At 35.4% G+C, this 19,559-nt stretch overlaps 1 protein-coding gene across 58 annotated transcripts in view; it reads left to right on the top strand.

Annotated features, from left to right (window-relative positions):
* The window catches only part of RALYL (RALY RNA binding protein like), a 739,058-nt gene that overhangs the window by 688,654 nt on the left and 30,845 nt on the right, over window positions 1-19,559 (top strand). For 43 of the 58 annotated variants that reach the window (NM_001413301.1, NM_001413300.1, NM_001354325.2 and 40 more), the window contains 2 exons: window positions 1,844-1,957; window positions 16,164-16,336. The exons of 2 other annotated variants lie outside the window; for them this stretch is intronic. In NM_001413301.1, coding sequence (NP_001400230.1) covers window positions 1,844-1,957; window positions 16,164-16,336 — 287 coding nt within the window. Of the gene's footprint in view, window positions 1-1,843; window positions 1,958-10,793; window positions 11,958-16,163; window positions 16,337-19,559 lie in introns of those variants that run through there. 13 more of the 58 variants (XM_047421387.1, NM_001354311.2, NM_001413312.1 and 10 more) reach the window with 3 other exon arrangements.

Here is a 19,559-nt window from a genome sequence, read left to right on the forward strand (position 1 = left end):
TTGAAATCTAATGTTATAAGATAAAATATTTTCTATTAAATTTGATACGTTTAAGTAAAACTACATATGCCTTCATCAAAGGAATGAGTACCACTCTTCAAAGCAAAATCAATTTGCAATTGTGACAGATGATGTTTTTCAAATTTAGCTGCAATTCCACAATGGTACTTTGATGTCTTTGAAGTAATTGACATGAGGAGTGATTCTCTATTTTACCCTGTTCTACTTTCAGTTTAGTCATTCCTCAGAGGGATACTCTAGAGGGCCCATGCTTCTTGCAGTTTTTATTTTGCAAACTACTTTGCATTGTAAATAAAAGTCTGCTTTAAAAAAAATCTGATTTGACAATGGGAAAAGTTTTCTCATTTTTATACAAAAATCTGTTCTTCCCTTAAGATTTAGTGTTTATGATCCATAACATATCATGTATATTATATCATTTATCTTAATCGACAAATAGTTCTATTTTAAGCAAACATAAATTGCATTTTGTTTTTGTTTTTTTATTTTTTCAAAAAAGTCTGAAGACTAAAGAATCAAGTTAAACACTCTAATTTCCTCAGAAATTTCTGGGGAATATCTAGTCTGAGATTATTAGAAACCAGAAGGAAAAGAGACAGAAGATAAATAGACTGGAAACAAATAAGTATCCAAGATCTTGAAACTTGGCTCTTGAATGAGGTGTGAATACTGCCAGTCCACCTAATAAAAGCTCGGAGGCAGATATAGCTGTTCCATTGTAATGGCTTTAAAATCTTTCATCTCTGATTGTTGTGGATTCAAAATATTTCTAAATTCCATTATCCATTTGCATACCCTTCAGTCAAAAGATTTAGGATTAAATGCTCGTGTCACTGAGAATCCCCATTTGTAACTGGCATAATCATTCAGTATTCCAGGATCACTAGAAGTAATGAGAAGTTGATAAAATTGAAATGGTTTTCAGAAAAATAAGGACAGTGCAGTAAATTTTTTACAAATATAAACATATTTCATTTAAAGAATTGTCTTCGAAATATGAGATTGTTCTTTCCTTAAGCCTTTTTCCCTTATAAAATAATTACTGTAGTCAATAGTAGGCTATTTATTGTTGTTTTTAACATCCATACTTGGCAAAATGAAAAATTGTCATCTTATGTTAGTCCCCAGTTGTTTTCTTTGAAACTGTACTAAACTCTAAAAATCTAGAATGGGAACTACTACTATTGAAATTATCAGTGAGAACTTCTGTGATTTTCCTTTCCATCAAGCCCAGGGCTTAGAGGGAGGCATGTACAACTCACTGCCTTAGTTTTATTTAGGAAAACTGAAGCTTCATAGCAGCTTTGAGTGAGCTGGAAAGAGTTTTCTCACATCTAAGACATTTTCTTTAAAGGATAAATTGTATATCCTGGTTTCCATCAATCTTCAAGGAGCTGGATTAAAATATCATTGACTGCTGAAATACATATTACAACATAGTTCCTCAAAGTAGTATCTGGCATGATTTAATTATTGCTTCATCTGAATCCCTCTCACATTGAAGATTTACTCTATTTTGTAAAATTTAGCATCATTGGGTTATTTTAAAAAATATTTCTTAATTCCGTTATCCATTTCCATAACCTTCAGTCAAAAGATTTAGGATTAAACGCTCATGTCACTGAGAATCCGTATTTGTAATTGGCAAAATCATCCAGTATTCCAGGATCACTAGAAGTAATGTGAAGTTGATAAAATTGAAAAATGTCCTATGTGATTTGACACAGACTTGAGAAAATACGGGGTCCCTGTGAGTTCGGTCCTAGGTGAGTTATGGTGCATTTGATGCTCTGTTGTTTTCTTCCTTCTTTCTACTTTCCAGTGAAATCAGATGAGTTACAGACCATCAAGAAAGAATTAACCCAGATCAAAACTAAAATTGACTCCTTGCTAGGGCGCCTGGAGAAGATTGAGAAACAGCAGAAGGCGGAGGCAGGTAAGTGATCTCTGATCACAGACAGGTCAGAATTGAACCAGTGAAACGTTGTCAATCACAGAAGCAGTACAGGGCCAGGAAGACACTGGCTGAGTTTAACAGTGTTTAATACAGATGTGCCAACAATGTCTTTAAGCCCAGAGTTGCAATAATAAAATGTGATTTTTTTTCTTTTAGAGAACATGAACTAATTTTTCTAAGGTTCATACTAAAAATAAAAGGCAAGGACAAGTGTTTTGGTGGAATAATCAGTAGTAGTTGAGTCACAGTTGAAACTTTATCTCAATATCAAGTAACCTTTCAGAAAATAAAATCAATTAACAGAATAATGCTATCAGGCTAACATAATATTCATATATAATTAAATTAACTGCAGCAAAATTTGACAGGTTTCAACAATTATTATAATGCCCAACTCCTGCCTTTGCTGCCACCCTGAAAGACTTCAGTACCCAAGTTCAGGAACATCAAGACTAAGACCATGCACCTGGCTACCCACAGGCCAAGTTATTTGATCATATATTTTACAATTTAATAGCCTCTGTCTTTTGAATTATCAGCCCTGACCCAGCTCCTTTCTAGTACCAGTCTAATGCTCTTTTCATATGGCTACAGATATTTTTTGAGTCACAAGTATATGAGACCTGGTATAAACTTAGAAGTAGGCCACAGTTTGAAAAGTGTGCTCTATGAGGCTTTAGACGCCTCAGAAGCCTCCTTGGAGTTAAGATGGGGATTAGGAAGAGACCCGGTAGGTAGACAGACTTATGCCTCTTCGAATCCCAGCCCTTCCTCTGACCAGTGTAACTTCCCTGTATCTGTTCTAGATACTGGCATTCAACATAAGACTTAATTTGCTGGAAGAGTTCCATTTCTTATAAAATAAATAAATAAATAAAGTGTGAAAGCCCTTGATAAATCCAACCTCTTCATTTTGCAGATGAGAAAACAAAGGCTCAGGAAAGTAAATCGATTTTCCTAGACCTGTATATCTAATTAGTGATAGACCTCGGTCTCAAACTCAGGGCTTGTAACTGAATTTAGTGCCCTTTCCCATTTACAGCCCCAATCTCAGGTTCTCCTCAGAGCTTTGTCCCAGGATTTCACTAAAGTAAGGCTATCTGGGTGACACCTAAATGATGAGAACTCATGGGGACCTAGGGCCCCTGAGCTACCACACACAGGAGCCTGTCAGTTTGTTGACTCATATCACTGGGGTGAGGGTTGGAGCGTACCCTTGGCAGTGAGCCATACAGGGCTCAAGAATGAAAAGAAGCACATGTGAGGTGGTAGTGTAGCATAATGGATGAGAGAAATAAACTCTGGTTCAAATCGCTGTATACCACATTCACAGTTTTCTCATTTATAAAATGATACTGATGGCTGCCTCACATGGTGAGTAATGAACAAAGTGGCATATGTAAACTATATAGCACAGAGTTAAAAATATAATAATTGGAGTTATCAAGGACTAGTAGCAACACACCCATGTACAGGCAAATGGACATTTCCTCCGACTTTCATACGGCTCATTTTTAAAAAACATAAGCCATGTACCTAGCACATGGTCAACTCACACTAACCCTTGTTAAGGTAGATGAGGAATGATAGACTAAATGGAATCTTTCTTAATTAAAGATTTCTATTACAAATGTATTATTTCCAATTCAGAAAGGCATACTTGCCTATACTTTTTAATAAAAAAAATAGATTTTAGAAAGTTTTTAACATGCTGTCTATGGCACTGAAATGTTACTGTAACTGAAATATTCTGTCATGTTGCCTAAATCAATATTTCCCTTTGAGGAACTCTGTAAAATTCATTATTATGTAAAACAACCCTTACAGCAAAGGACTTTGATAACCAATTTGCACTTCAGTTTAAAGGATTATGGAGAACTCATTTAAATATGGAGAACTCATTTAAATATAAATCACCTCAAAGAGAAAAATGTGGTCCTTATTCCATCATAATATACCTTTCAGTTTGCTGCAATGACTAATACCTTCCATATATCTTTTTGGAAGATCATTTAGAAATGTAACACTAAAATTCAAAGCTTGCATCTTTTTTTCATGAGATGTCACTTACTTTTGAACATGTTTAAACTTTTACAGTCATGAGACAGTTGCTTTTAAAATAATAAGACTTAGTCCTTTGATATTTATGTCTCTTTAACTTTTTATGAAGAAAATGAATTTGTAACTCCATTCTTTTAGTAATTGTTTCCTGAATAGTGTATTTATAGAAATAAAAGATAAATGTTTTATATATTTTACTATATTTTCTTCACGAAAAAAATCAGGTTTGCTTGGAAAGAATTAACACTACCTTATGGAAAGTAGAGTGAAATGCACTAAAACTCATTTTAAAATGCTCAGTGGCTCCTTATTCAAGGGGACAGTCATTACAATGCTTAATTAGTTGAAAGCTAATTACTTACTTGGTAGCTAGCATTTACTCTTCATTATTACTCTTTCATAAATTTCTCACTCCTAATTTACTATTAGTTATTTATTTAATAGTGAAATTTTCCAGCAGAGAAATAATGGCAGGAAGGAGATGGAGAATCTGAAAGTGTGGGGAAGGACACACAACATGGGCTGTGCCTGAGGTCAAGTTCCATAGTATCTTTTTTTTGGAAGCGAACTCCTAAGCTCTCAGTACATTACTTTGGATTTTCTATACCTTAAATTGCTCAAATAGATGTGTGTGTGGTGTCCTGTCATTTGAGATTGTTAAGTTCCTCAGAACAAGATCATGTCTTCTCTTCCCTAACTCTACCCAACACCAGGTATTATGTACTGGGCACAACTTAGCAAGTCATTTAACTCTCTTAGGTCTCAAGTCTTTCAAATGTAAACTAGAGGAATGGGTTATGGCCTCAAATGTATATTCTGGCTTCTAAAACTATGATTACTGTGAATCCACCATGCATGTATTATTTTTTCCATTACATCACACAACTTCTTTGGGGATATAGTGACTATGTAGATTATAGAAAACCACAAGTAACACTTAAAATCAGTTCGGCCAGCAATTTTGCCTCATTGTTAGATGATTCTTTTAAAAGAGCCGCATATAAGTTGCCACATATGCATAGCACAAATTACATGCTTTACGCAAAGATGTTAAGTGAACAAAAACAGTGAAAAGCACAAGAAGGAAAAGTAAAAAGACTGGATAGCATGCAATGGGAACAGTTACTCCATGGGTAACTACATTTTTTAAAAAATTACATTTCAAGTGCAGACTTTCTGAAGTGAAAAGGCAATTATTAGACATTATTTAGTTCAATTTTATTCTCACTGTTATTCCTGATACATGAGCAGCCAAGTCTGACTGGGACAATTCCAGTGATAACATTGGGATGTTAGACTTACGTCTTAGAGAGGTTACAAGCAGGAGTCCCACAAGATAAATTCATCCTACCCATATGTTTGGTATAAGAGATGAAGTTTTCAAAAATAAATTAATGTCCAAAAATTGGAGTATTGTAAACAAATCTCAAAATATGAGCTCTTTTGAAAATATTGAACTTTTCAATACTGCTACTCAATCACTCTACACATGGCATGCACTTTTCAGTTTGCTAATATCTTTATCCAGCCAGTTCATGTATTTATATTATCTATTTGGTCCCTGTTCACATTCATGTCTGAGACTCCCATTGCAGGTTTTCCTTACACTGAGCTAAAATGTATTTTGCTTTCACTTGGTTCAGTTATCACTCTTATGTTCTCTGAAAAGAAACTTAATGTCTAATTCTTTGTGATACAACAGTCAATTAAGAATTTAAAGGGAGTGGCCGGCCGCGGTGGCTCACACCTGTAATCCTAGCACTTTGGGAGGCTGAGGCAAGTGGATCACTTGAGGTTAGGAGTTCGAGACCAGCCTGGCCAACATGGTGAAACCCTGTCTCTACGAAAAATACAAAAATTAGCCGGATGTGGTGGCACATGCCTGTAATCCCAGCTACTCAGGAGTCTGAGGCAGGAGAATTGCTTGAACCCAGGAGGTGGAAGTTGCAGTGAACTGAGATCACGCCACTGCACTTCAACCTGGGCGACAGCGAGATTCCATCTCAAAACAAATAAATATATATATATATATATACACATATACGCACACACATATATATTTAAAGGGAGCTATAGTATTCTCACCCCTCCAAAACCTTTGAACAGAGAGTTGATATCATTGGCCTATGGGTATTCATCTTAACTGCATTCAAATTTTGATCACAGCATCGTAGAGGCCTTTTTGGTCTAGAGAAATATCAACAGTTCCTTTAGTTGCTTCTCATTTAACTTGGTTTTGCACCTTAAACTATTGCCATCTCTCTTCTCTAGTCATTATGTAGTTTGTCAACACAGATTACGTTGCTCAGAATGGAAAGTGTTGCTCCAGATATGATCTGACTGCTGTAGCCTATAACATGACTACCATTTCTGTTCTGAATACCTTACTGCTCTCATTGACACTTCAGATTGAATTGGTGATGCTTCCGGTTAAAGATGATGAATTAAACACATGAATTGAGCAGTGTTTTCTCTTGAAGCTGCATTAAAAACAAGGAAAGGGTTTAGCAGCTGGACAGGAGGTATACCTAATTTAGCACATCCTAGAAATCCAAGTCCAATTTTAATCACAAACTCCCAAAAAGCTCAGAATTCAAGGCATCATATTCCCCTGGAAAATAAATGGTTGAAAGTCTGTTTAGGAAACAGATTCCTATGTCCCAGCTATCCCAACTGCACTTTGAAAGAAGGCTGGAGAAGTTTCCTCTAGTGAAGGTAAAACAGTGGGTCTCAGGGCTGGTAGACAATAAGGAAACTTGAGAGCACTTAAAAGCAGAGAGGGAGAAAGTTTCCGTAATTACTGTAGAAATGCCCACCTTCTCCCTGACTCAGCTACCACAGCACTGGCAGGACACTAGAAGAGTCTTCAGTTGAGAACATGAGCAGCCCAAGAGGAAAGACTTAAAGATGCTGATAGAGGGTCAACTAAGGAATCACTCAGCCAGACCACCTACAGAGACAGTATCTCTCTATACTTACAAAGTTGCCAGTCAATATTTTAATGCCCTACTGTTAATGTGAACAAACAAGAATCACCAGATCAAAGAACATAGTTAATAAGCAAATGCCAAAAAAAAAAGAAGTCAGAGGAAACAAACATATACAGGAAGAATAAAACTTCAAAAAGAAAAAAAAAACACTAATACCCTCAGAGAAATGAGAAGATACTGTAATAAAAACATAAAATTATAGAACTGAGTATTCAAAGCGCTGATAAAAGAGCTTTTATAAATTAACATATGATAGCACAAATAAATAACTCAATACAATGATTGGAAGACAAAATTGGAAAAACTCTCCCAGAAAATATGGAAAAAAAAACAGAAATGGAAAATAGGGGAAGGATATGAGAATTACACGATGAATATCTGAATAAGCTTTAGTTTCAGTTTTCCTAGGTCATCTGTATTCATTCTGAGTTGGGTTTCAGTTTACCTATGTGGGAACCCAAGGCACGGGAACCATCTCAGCCTAATGGCCTTCCAATTAACTGTTTTAATATGCCCTTTCTCTGAAAAGTACTAAAAAGAGTACTTCACCAAAAACACAGCGATAAACCAAGAAAGAGGAAAAACAGAGCCTTCCTAAAGCATGGACTCTAAAAGCAAAAAACAAAAGGAATTCTCAAGATAGAGGTAACAGAGATCCTAGGAGATGAGCTGTGCAAGAGATCTGGAAAGAAATGAGTCCAGATCAGAACTGCTCAAAAGCTCTGGGATAGACTTTTTAAGACATCAAAATTGATGAAATAGCTACTGGGTGGGAAAGAGGATTGGTTGAGAAGGAGGGGTAAGTTTGCATAAGTACGTAAAGAGAAGCACATAGAGAACGAATTTTTAAAACTTGAGGCAATTTTTAATTCTAGAGAAAATAAAATATTCTTCAGGAAAGAAAAAGTATTCATCCTGTACTAACAACTTAGCTGCACAAAGTACTTTCACCATAAAAATTGTGTAAAAACTGAAAATTTATTAAATCCAATTTACAATATGATTCTCTAGAGAGATGGGAAGTGAATGGGGATTATAGGACCAAGAACTGAATCCTCAGCTTCCTAGGGATAATGTCAACAGATAGTGCATAAAACTGATCGAGAAGTAGCAATATAAACAATATTTAGAGATAGGAGTGCATGTATTTAAAAGATTCAGCCAAGTGAGTGGAAAGCCTTTAAGGAGCTGGAAATGGTGAACAGGTAGGAACAAAACGCTGCTGTTTTCCATAGCAAGCTTGTAGAAATATTTGAGTACAAAAATTAAATATTTTAAAGAAGTTAAATATAAGGGGGTGAAAAGACATTGAGTTGTCCTTAGCAACTAGATCAAACCTTTCAACTGCTTACTGGAGTGCTTCCTGTAGTGCTTCCTCAGTTAACTGTAAAGGCAAGATTGCCCTGGACACTTACTAAAAGCAGCAAGGAAGGCTTTGTTCAAGACTATTGCAATAGGAGATAAAATTGAACTCAACTCTGCAAAAATAAAAGGCAGAATAATTTTTTGAATTCTAGAATGAGCTAAAGGCAGGCAGATTCTTGAATGCTGGAGCAAGCTAATGGAAAAGTATTGGGGGATGTTGGAGGAGGATATTTGGCCACCATCTGTGTTTGCTAATTAGCTCTTATTAAAGTTAGGCTGCTACTCTCCCAAGGAGACTGGAAGACAATGGCTCTATCTTATTCAATGATAACATGTCAAAGAGATAGCTCCTGAATCTTAAGAAAAATATTCCTGGGTTACAGAAAATTTGCCTCTCAAATGGGCAGAGAAAGAATTTACAATTGCAAGTTTGCTAAAGCAAACACTCTAAGGAAAGGATGCTCCAGGGCCTATGGTCAGGAAGAAACCTACCTGTAGTTTAGTCAAGCCAAGGGGAATATTGAAGCCATCTTGTGAATAACTCAATCACAGTCTTTCAAAATTGAATTCTTTCTCCTCACTTTCCTACCTAGATATACTCCTCTGTACCCTATCTCTGTCATCACTATTACATAAATCCTGTCCATCAAATTGCCAGTCTCAACATTATCCTCTATTCCTACCATAGCAGTGTTGCCAAATCTTACCTTGGGTATATTTTTCACCCCTTCCCTCTATTTTCCTAAAGATACGCCAATACCCAAACCCTCATCATCTCTCACATGTTCTGTTGCATTCATCTTATTTTTTACACCAATTTATTGAGGTACAGTTTACATAGAATAAAATTTACTCATTTCAAGAGTACAATTCAATGACTTAGTGATTTTACCAAGTGATACAACCATCACCACAAATCAGTTAGGACATTTTCATCCCCCTAAAAATCACCTTTTAGTTGGTCTCCACTTCTGGTTTGCTTCCTCCCGAATTCACCTTCCTTGTGGAAAACAGATTTACATTATCTAAGGTCCCAGACAGGAATAAAACAAAACTAGGTTCACATCCCACTAGAGACCTAGTTTAACTTACTAGCTGAATGAAATTTGGAAAAGTCCTTATAAAACCTATTAAATGGTTTTATAAGGATTATATAATATCTCTACTAAAACCATTATTAGATTTAAATAAACACAATTATATACCAGTAATTTTTAAATGATTTATGTTGCATTTGTGTCATCTCAACAATCTAGGGTATTTCATGTGAACAACTTTGAAGCCATTTCCTCCAAAAATGTACTCACATAACTAATATATTCATCTAAAACATTCTATGTAATTTTCCTGATGTTCATTTATGTGGCTGATAGTAATACCATCCAAAATAAGTTGTATTTTTCTAAATGGAATTTATTGGAACCATTGAGTTAAATTAATACTATATACAGGTGTTGTAATATAAAATTTTTCTTAAAATACAGTTTATGCTTGTATGCAAAAACAATGATTCAAGGATACTAACTTGGCTCTAGTGAATAATGTGACTGTTTTTGTATCAACATTCTTTCCAACCATCTGCTAAGTACAATTCAGCTAGCAATTATCTAGCAATTAAGCCAGCATGTCAAAAAACTTAATTGCCAACTCAACCAATTTTCATAGTTATATTAATGATAATAGCTATGCAGCAAACTCAATTTAATAAAAACACTTTGAACATAAATCCCAACAATTCTAACTTGTTTTCTGAATCGTAGATAGCTTTTTGAAGTAGAGATGAGATGTGCAGAAAAAATATTTGAATATGAGGATTGGAATTTAATATTAAATTCTTTTCTTTCATGGTTTTTTAAAGCTTTAGGCATTTTCCCTTAAACAGAAATACTTACCTGTAATTTGTACTTCTTTTCCTTTGATAGTCATTGTTTAGCTAACTAGAACATGTGCCCCTAACTAAACAGACTTCTTCATTCTTGAACTTAAAATTGGTTATTGAAGAGATTTGAAGTATTCCCTTGGTATGTCAAATTAGGCCTTCTTTTTTTAGAGATATATTAGAAAACAGCCAAGGTTATAAGATCAGAAATTTAAACTTGGAATTCCAGCTCTTGCACTTATTACTGTGTGACCATGAGCACTTATTTGTGCCTCAGTTTCCCCATGTGTAAAATGATAAATAAGCCTACATTGCAGTATATTTCAAGGACTAAAGTTAATGAATCTTACATGGTCAGCACTTCATAAGCACACACTAACTTGTAGCCATTATAAACCGTTTCTTTTTGTAATCCATAATGTAGGTGTCTTAGAGGTGTCTTTTTACATAAGCTGTTGGCTTTTTGGCTTCTAATCGACCTTTAAAAAAAATCTAATACTCATTTCTCTTTTCACAAAAGAAATGCTATGGTCATCCATCACTCTGACTTAAAGAAGCCAACAGACACTCCAAAAGATGCCAGTGTTCGAAGGCAGCCCTCCTCCAATAAGCACTGGAAGACTTCACATTTCATTTTTCTCTTGAAGACTTGTCAATATAAACACAAACAATTTTCTTCCCAGAAAATTTCAGACCTCACATTTTACTTTGACTTTGTGGTTTGGGATTGTCATGTAGAATGTGGCAACGAGGTTTTTCAGTTTTGTTTCTTTTTAAGTTATCTTGGATTTATATTTTTGTTACCATGGTGTGCAAAATTCAACTGTCACTTTAACTGAAAAGAATTTGACACATTTGATATTTATTTTAATTAGTTGATTCCACAATTCATTAATATATTCAGCAAACACTTAACTTGTGATTAAGGGTCTGAGTTAGCCACCAGGTAAACAAAGATGAATAATAAAAATGTTTCTGACCCAAAGAAGCTTTAGCAGCAGAGAGAGAAATGCACATACACACAAACACACATACACACTCACACAATCACATTGACAGTAAAAAGAGTGATGACTAGAAGAATAACTATGCAAATAAAGAGAATTGTATAAAGAACGAACTAAACGTTACTCATCTCCAAGAAAAGTAAAATTAGATAATTATTCATAAAAAAAGAACAAGTTGCTTTATCTCTACTTCAGCAATGTAATTACTGAATCAAAACTGCCTATTAAACTGTGAACCAACAGTTTAATAAAGAAGATGTGCTTTCATGTGTGATTTTATTCATGGAACCTATCATTGTTTAGTGATTATAATATTTCCCATTGAGATGATGACAAAAGCTATGTTGACTACCTATTACTAACACACAGGCTGATTGTATTTGTTAAACTCCTGTGACTCAATACCATTATAATTAAAGCTTTTTTTTCCCTCAACTCAGATAATGACTTCCAAGCATTTAGCTTTCAAGTTAATGATTGGATGATGAGAATAATATATAGGATTTTTTGCAATGAACTGTATTAATATACCACTGCCTTTGAAATACATCGTCAGAATCACATGTATATTGTATGTTAATACAAAAAATAGAGTAACTATGTCTATGTACTATATACTGTATTAGTTTGTTCTCATGCTGCTAATAAAGACATACCCAAGACTGGGTAACTTAAAAAGAAAAAGAGGTTTAATGAACTCACAGTTCCATGTGGCTGGGGAGGCCTCACAGTCATAGCAGAAAGTGAAAGGCACATCTTATATGGCAGCAGGCAAGAGAGAATGAGAGCCAGGAGAAACGGGAAACCCCTTATAAAACCATCAGATCTTGTGAGACTTATTTACTATAATGGGGGAAACCACCCCCATCATTCAATTATCTCCCACTGGGTTCTTCCAACAACACATGGGTATTATGGGAGCTACAATTCAAGATGAGATTTGGGTGGGGACACAGACAAACCATATCAGTACTGGACTATGCCTGTCTAAACATAGAACTAAAAAGGCTGTGTTGAAACCAAAACCCAAGATAATCTTTATAATGCCTGATTCTTAATGATCAGTAGGGGCGAATAATTTTGACATGGGAAATTTGTCTATAGCAATCAAGAAATAAATATAGATTCAACTCAAGAACTGTTTTGAGCCTGTTATAACATGTTTGTGTGGTCTTTGCAGTTTAAAAAACACAGTCACATCTTTTTCTTCGTTAGAGCACACAGCAACTCTGAAATAGATGTTATTTTCATGCTTACCTTTTAGAGAAGAAAATTACAATTAATAGGACTAGTAATTAGCAGAAGTATGGATCTCAAACCCTATATCCTTCCTGATACCTTATCTCTTCATGTGCAAGGCATTCAGTGAGGGGTACGGAGCACATCAAAATGTTTTGATAACTGACTTGAATTGTGCCTTTCAGTTTACTAAAGATCGACCTCTGTATCATCCTTTTTGAGTGTGACAACGATCTTCTGAGGCAATAGCTCAACTTTCCAGGAAGCTTAAACACTAATGAGAAGAAGATGAGAAAACAGTAGAACTAACTATAAGACAGCATTTGATCAGGGCCTTGGTTGATCAAAGAGGGAAAGATTACATTCAGCTGGGAAGATCAGGAAAGTCAGCTTTCCTGATACAAGCTGAAACAAATTGATACATGAAGCCAGATGAGGACTATGCATGTTTAAAGTGTGGTCCTACAGGGGTCCTTTGAAAATCTGCTATGCTTCCTTGGCCAGAGATCTTCTAGAGAAAAAATTATATATACATATACACACAAACACACACACACATATACACACACATATATGTATATATATTACACACACACACATATGTATATGTTACTTTCAACATCAAAAAGTAAGAGTTCTCAAAGAGCAAATATTTCTGGAATCATTAGAGAAGAAATGGATATACTAGGCCAATTGAATTCCTAATATATGTCAATCTTAAGCAAAAGTCCATTTATGTGTTGTAACAAAAAGATAAACACAATGACCTGACATTGAGAATGTTTGGGTTTAAAAAATTTATAAGATTCAAAGCATTTTTCACTGTACAGAATTATAAGAATCCCAAATTTCTATTTCTCTCTCTTTCTTCAGGTACCAACACTAGGTCTTGAAAGCTAGGGCATTTTGAACAAGCGGCAGGGTGACATAGAGTGGCAAGAAGTGAGCGGTTTAGATGATGTGTACAAAAACTTCTTTTAGGAGGAAGAGTGGGGGGCCAAAACCAGAGTAGCCACCTCCATTGTGCAGTCAAAGGATCAGTGATAGGAGAGGCAACAGAATAGAACAAGAGATGTGATTAATGGTAAAGGATTCAAAACTGTCCAATGCTCGAGCTAGTCAACTTATCACATCATTTTCTCAGTGGAGCCTACTAATAGATGTGTATGTGGGTTAACCTAGGTTACAGATCTAGAACTGTAGAGCACAATGAATGATATGTGGAAGGAAAATGAGAATAAAACCTAGAAATCTTCAGTAAGAGTAAAATTGAGAGTGTTTTGGTCTTTCTTGCCTTATTTAACTTCCTTTGAATTCAAACAACTGAGTCTTCTCTAGATTAAACAGATTTTTTTCTTTAACTCAGTTTTACCTTCTTAAATTGGATAATAATTTTCTATATTTAGAAAAAATCTTGGTTACATTTTACAATAACCACTTTATAGTCTTCATAGGACTTTCTGTGCTAAATGTTATATAGACATTAGGAAAAATGGGAAGAATTTATGTACTATACTTCCTTCCATCAGTACATCTGTATATGCATATCAAGATAAAAAGTATAGTTTTAAAAGCAGAATTCACATCCTTACTGCACAAATAATGTTGTTAAATGGAGAAATTTGAACCTAATAAGTTGATTTTAAAAACATCAAGGCGTGTATAGCTTGTGTCTATTTATATGAAGTAAATGTCTTTCTCTTAATGAAAAAGAGCCTATGTTTTGGTCATTTATGATACCCGTAGTAATTATTTCCAGCCTTGGTTTGATCTACCAGCTCTTTTTCTCCTCTGAAACACAGCCTCAGCCCCATGAGTGTTGTTCTGTGATCTCAACAGGCCTCTTGATCTAAGTTTACTGTTGTTGTTATTCAGTGAAGAGCATACCGTCTACCTTTTGTATATAATAGAACACATTTATGTAGTCCTTTATAATTTGCAAAACATTTCCCAAATATAAGCTCTGCTAATTCTCACAGTAAAACCCAGAGGTAGGTATAGATGAGGAAAGAATGACTTAATGTGCTTAAAGGACCTGCCCCGAACAAATGGCCAAAACTTAGACTCAAACTCAGTGTCTATAATTCTGTGGGTAAGTAACAAAGCTAGAGCTAGAATCTTGTCAACTAGAGCTCAGAGTAACTAAACTCTGACAACAGAGGCAAGGCACGGCAACCCTTTACTACTGTCTTATTTTCAATAAACTTTATCATTTGGAGAATTAAAATGCAAGAAAGTATAGATACACATTTATTTATAAAAGTAATTATTATTTTAATTATAAGCAATTTCTTGGAAAGAATATCTGCTTATTTGCTTATTTGTACATTATATTTATATCAGTTTGTTGATTTATATATTAGTTATGTTTGGAAAGTTTGGTGCTGAGACAAAATGTTTATATCAATGCTCATTTTCCTTTTATCTCACGTTATGAAAAAGACCAGAAATGAATACCCTAAAGTTATTTAGCTCTATAAACTACCTTTATTGTCATAAATTATCAATAAATAAGATAAAAAATTAGGCTATTTAAAAACTCAGATCAAAGGATAGATTAATCATCTGATAAAAAATAACCCAGCAAAATTAGTGAAAACAACCAACTTTTGAATAGTCATGAACACATGGGAATAAGTTAGAGAAGGAGGAACATACAATGATCTAATTTATCGGATACCCAACATTTCTTTGTATTATCATAGGGGATGAATACCACCCACTAGAGGAAATAATTACGATGCTGTCAGCACAATTTCCATTTGAGCAGGTTTCTGTATATGGAATGCACAGATCCTGACAACTAGAGGAAATTCTAGTAATGTGGAGTGTAGCTTCATTTGTTGAGCACTTATTATTTGCAAGTCTCTATACTAACACTTTGATTCACTATACCAAACCCTGAAAGTTTAGGAAATAGTTGTCCTTATTGCATGGATGAGAAAACTGAGACACATGGAGGGTTAATCATTTCCACTTTGCACAGCATCACAAAGCTATTAGGTGATGAAGCTCAACTTTGAACCCAGGTTGTCTGACCCCAGAATTTATGTTCTTAACCATTGAAGTTAACCACATCTGTCAACATAATTTAGACTTTAAAATTTCCGGCAATTATTCACACAGACATGTTGTCTGAAAAACAACATATTTGCTTTTGTACTTTTTTCCTCAGTGAGTTTTTGTCTTTTTCACTTAGGTTTGAACTTGTCAATGAATTTTCTCAATCCTGCTTCCTTGAGTGAAAAAGTTCTATGTTGTATCTGATTTTTGCCATTTGTTTTTGCTCTATTTTTCCTCTCAGAAAGACCATCCTTATTAGAAAGCACTATATATAAAATAAAGTAGCCAGAAAGATCAATCTGTTTATGTAAATCTTACTAATTTATGTACTACTACCATCTGGATTCCCTAATTTTTGCTAATTCTGTTAAATAAATATGCTTACATGTAAGTGCACATAGAAATCTGTACATGATTTACATGATTGAAAAAATTCAACTTAAAGCATAATATTACCTTACCTTCTGTACACCTTTAATAGCATATAGCGTTTACCCTTTCATGGACTGTTTTTTCATGGTTTATCCAAATGGCTCATGAGCAACCCAAGGTAGTAGTCATTTGCTTTCTCCCCCCCCCAGAAGCTCAGAAGAAGCAATTGGAAGAGAGTCTAGTGCTGATCCAAGAGGAATGTGTGTCAGAGATTGCAGATCACTCTACAGAGGAGCCTGCTGAAGGAGGGCCAGATGCCGATGGAGAAGAGATGACAGATGGGATAGAGGAGGACTTCGATGAAGATGGGGGTCATGAGCTGGTAGGAAAGAAACATTTGGTATTCACACCCTTTGGGTAACAACACTAGCATGTTAGCAACTCATTCATTCTAAAATAAGGATTAAATCATTTGGGGCTTATTTCTCTTATATGCATATATTTAAGGGAACATGAGTATAGTGCTTTGCACATAATAAGTGCTCAATACTTTATTGCTAACTTAAAATAGGAAAGTCTAAATGAAGGAGCAAAATAAATATCATGTAAGAGATTAGGTATATTTAAAGTCCAAAGTGAAAGATTCTCTCCAAAATGCTCCATTGCAAAAGGAACCTTGCATTTATGCAATTACAAGTGAACTATATGTGGATATAATATCCTGGTAACAAACTACAATATACTGGAAGATACCTGGTTTACTAACTGATGATAATTATTTATACTATTTGTATGGCCAACAGTCTTGTCTACAGTGTGCTCCCTAAGATGACACTTTGGTAGATGGCCAGTTCATCATTTTCAATGCCTGTACTGCCTGATAATCAGTTATTATGAGTTGGGAATTTGGCTAAGACCTGCTTCTTTACAAGTTGTATTTTCCTAATATTGTAATCATTATACTGCTCATTTCCAGATGTCCTTTCCTGCATAACCACATCACGGACTTGGTAAATGTATGCTGATGAGGATGTTATTTCTCATATTTTATCAAGCATGAAATTAAATATACTATCTCAAAGGACTTAACTAATAAAAATGATATGCGGGCAAATGTGGGTATATATGTCGCCAACTTCCAAATATCTATGGACTGATCATGTTAAATTTGGCTTATCCCAGGTAAAAATCAGGTTCCAGTTTAATACTGTACCTTTAGTTACTTAACTCATTTTGTCATGGTGCTTGTTTTATCAATAGTTTCCAAGACAGCTGAATTGCATAGATTCTATATTAACTTTTAACATGCCAGCTCTGTTAAAATTTATGGCACCTTTATTATTTTTTGTTTATTTATTGAATTAATTATTTTTGAGACAGAGTCTCACTCTGTCCCCCAGGCTGGAGTGCAGTAGCATGATCTCAGCTCACTGCAACCTCCGCCCCCCTGGTTCAAGCGATTCTCCTGCCTCAGCCTCCCGAGTAGCTGGGATTGCAGGCACCTGCCACCACATCCAGCTAATTTTTGTAATTTTAATATAGATGCGGTTTCACCATGTTGGCCAGGCTGGTCTCAAACTCCTGACCTCAAGTGATCTGCCCACCTCGGCCTCCCAAAGAGCTGGGATTACATGTGTGAACCACTGTGCCCAGCCAGCACCTTCATTTAAACTTTTCAAATATGAACTTTTAACAACCACCCCTATTTCCATGAAAGTCTGTATCAGTTTGCAGAACACAAGCACCTGTTCTTAGACTGACATTGATTTCAGGAATCTATTGATTAAGGATTAAAGAACAAACAAATGTCCCAGCTTCTCCTTAGGCAGGACTACATGATTCAGCAGGACTAATTCGACAACATGATTTCTTCAACTCATTCTAATCAGATCTCTGCTGTCAGGATTCCATTGTGACTACACTCCTTGAGCTCTCTGGAGGCCTCCATGCTGCCATTTACAATGGTTACTTCTCTGTTCTTATTTTAATTTACTTCTCAGCAGAATTTTTCATAAGCTGACCACTTCCTTCTTCTGAGAAATTCTCCTAATTTACCACTTGCTCATTATCAGTTTCCTGTACTAGAAATTTTCCCTCCATGCTCCCACTTTAAATATTGGGTAGCTCAGGGTTTTGTCTTAGGCCATCTTCTCTTTCTACACCCTGTCCCAAGATGTCTTCATCAAATACTAGAGCGTTAAATATTATCTATAGGCCAAGATTCCTAAATTCACATTTCTATCCCTGATCTCTTCATGGGACTCTAGAGTCAAATGTTTAGTTGCCTATCACCACATAGCTCTCCAATAAACAATTGAAACTTAACATGGCCAGAAACAGTCTTGATTTTTTTCTAGTCATTTTGCACTTTCCCAGGCTTCCTCATTCTGGTAAACAGCATCGCCATTCACATAGTTATTAAAACCAAAGACTAAGATCATCCTTGGCCCCCACCTTTATCCTTGTTAATGCTACTTCCAACTCACACCCCCAAAGTTAGTTACAACTCCACAACAAGTACCATGACCCAAGCCACGATCCCTGCTCTTCAGATTTTCCATAATATCTAAACTGGTTTTCTTGCTTCAACTCTTGCCTCATGCAACCCATTCTCCACAGAAGAAGGGTAAATATCTTTATAAACTATCTGTCAGATAATGCCATTTCCTTGCTTAAAACCCTACAATGTTTTTCATCACACACAGAGTCAAAATCCCAAAGAGTGTGAATGTTAAGTTGTGATGAGATTAGGTGAAGGATGCCAGTAGAGAGAGAGAACTTGGTGAAGAGAAAGAGAAAAGATCCCCAATGCTGAAAGGAAAGGGATCTAGACCACAAGTATACATACCTGAAGACTCATCCACTGCAAGTGACTGTGATTAGTCTAAGGATGTTGTGGCAGGAGTTTGAGGGAGTTCAAGCACAAACTAAGATAAGTCAGAGAGTGATAACCTCTGGGGAATGAGGAGAGATGGGCACTATCACAGATTTGAGGGGAATGAAAAAGATTTGAAAAGGCTCCTATGGAAAACACTAAAGATTACTAATTTAAAAAACATATAAAGATTGGCAGTGTTAGTAGCCAGTTAAGGTTAAAGATCAAGAATTAATAGAGTAGTATTTTGCAAACTTTAAGATGTATCAGAACTACTTAGAGAACTTTGTAAAAACGCAGATTCTTGTGTCCCATTCTGAGAGATTCTGATTCAGTATGCTGAAGGGGGCTCTAGGAATTTGTATTTGTAACATGTTCCTAAATTATACTGATGCTGCTGGTCTGGGATCACACTTTGAGAACTACTGTTATCACGTTATCAATCTGCCTTTTCTCCATTGGCTTTTATCAGCCCTTATGGAAGCATGAAGAAAGCAAACATGTTCAAAGTTGCATTTTTGTCAGATAGTGCAAAAAAAAAACAATAAATAAAAGGAGTTAGGATATTAGTAAAAAAATAAATAAATAAGAGTGGCTGACTAGATGGGTCATGGAATCTAACCAACAGGGAAGGAAAGGAACACGGTTGTGGGGGGCAGTTTAAAAATGAGAAAATAAAGGCACAAAGGGAACAAAAAGCCCCTACATATACCATTAAGGACTAGAGAAA

The sequence above is a fragment of the Homo sapiens genome, chromosome 8 (assembly GCF_000001405.40).
Source record: "Homo sapiens chromosome 8, GRCh38.p14 Primary Assembly".
Taxonomy (NCBI): Eukaryota; Metazoa; Chordata; class Mammalia; order Primates; family Hominidae; genus Homo; species Homo sapiens.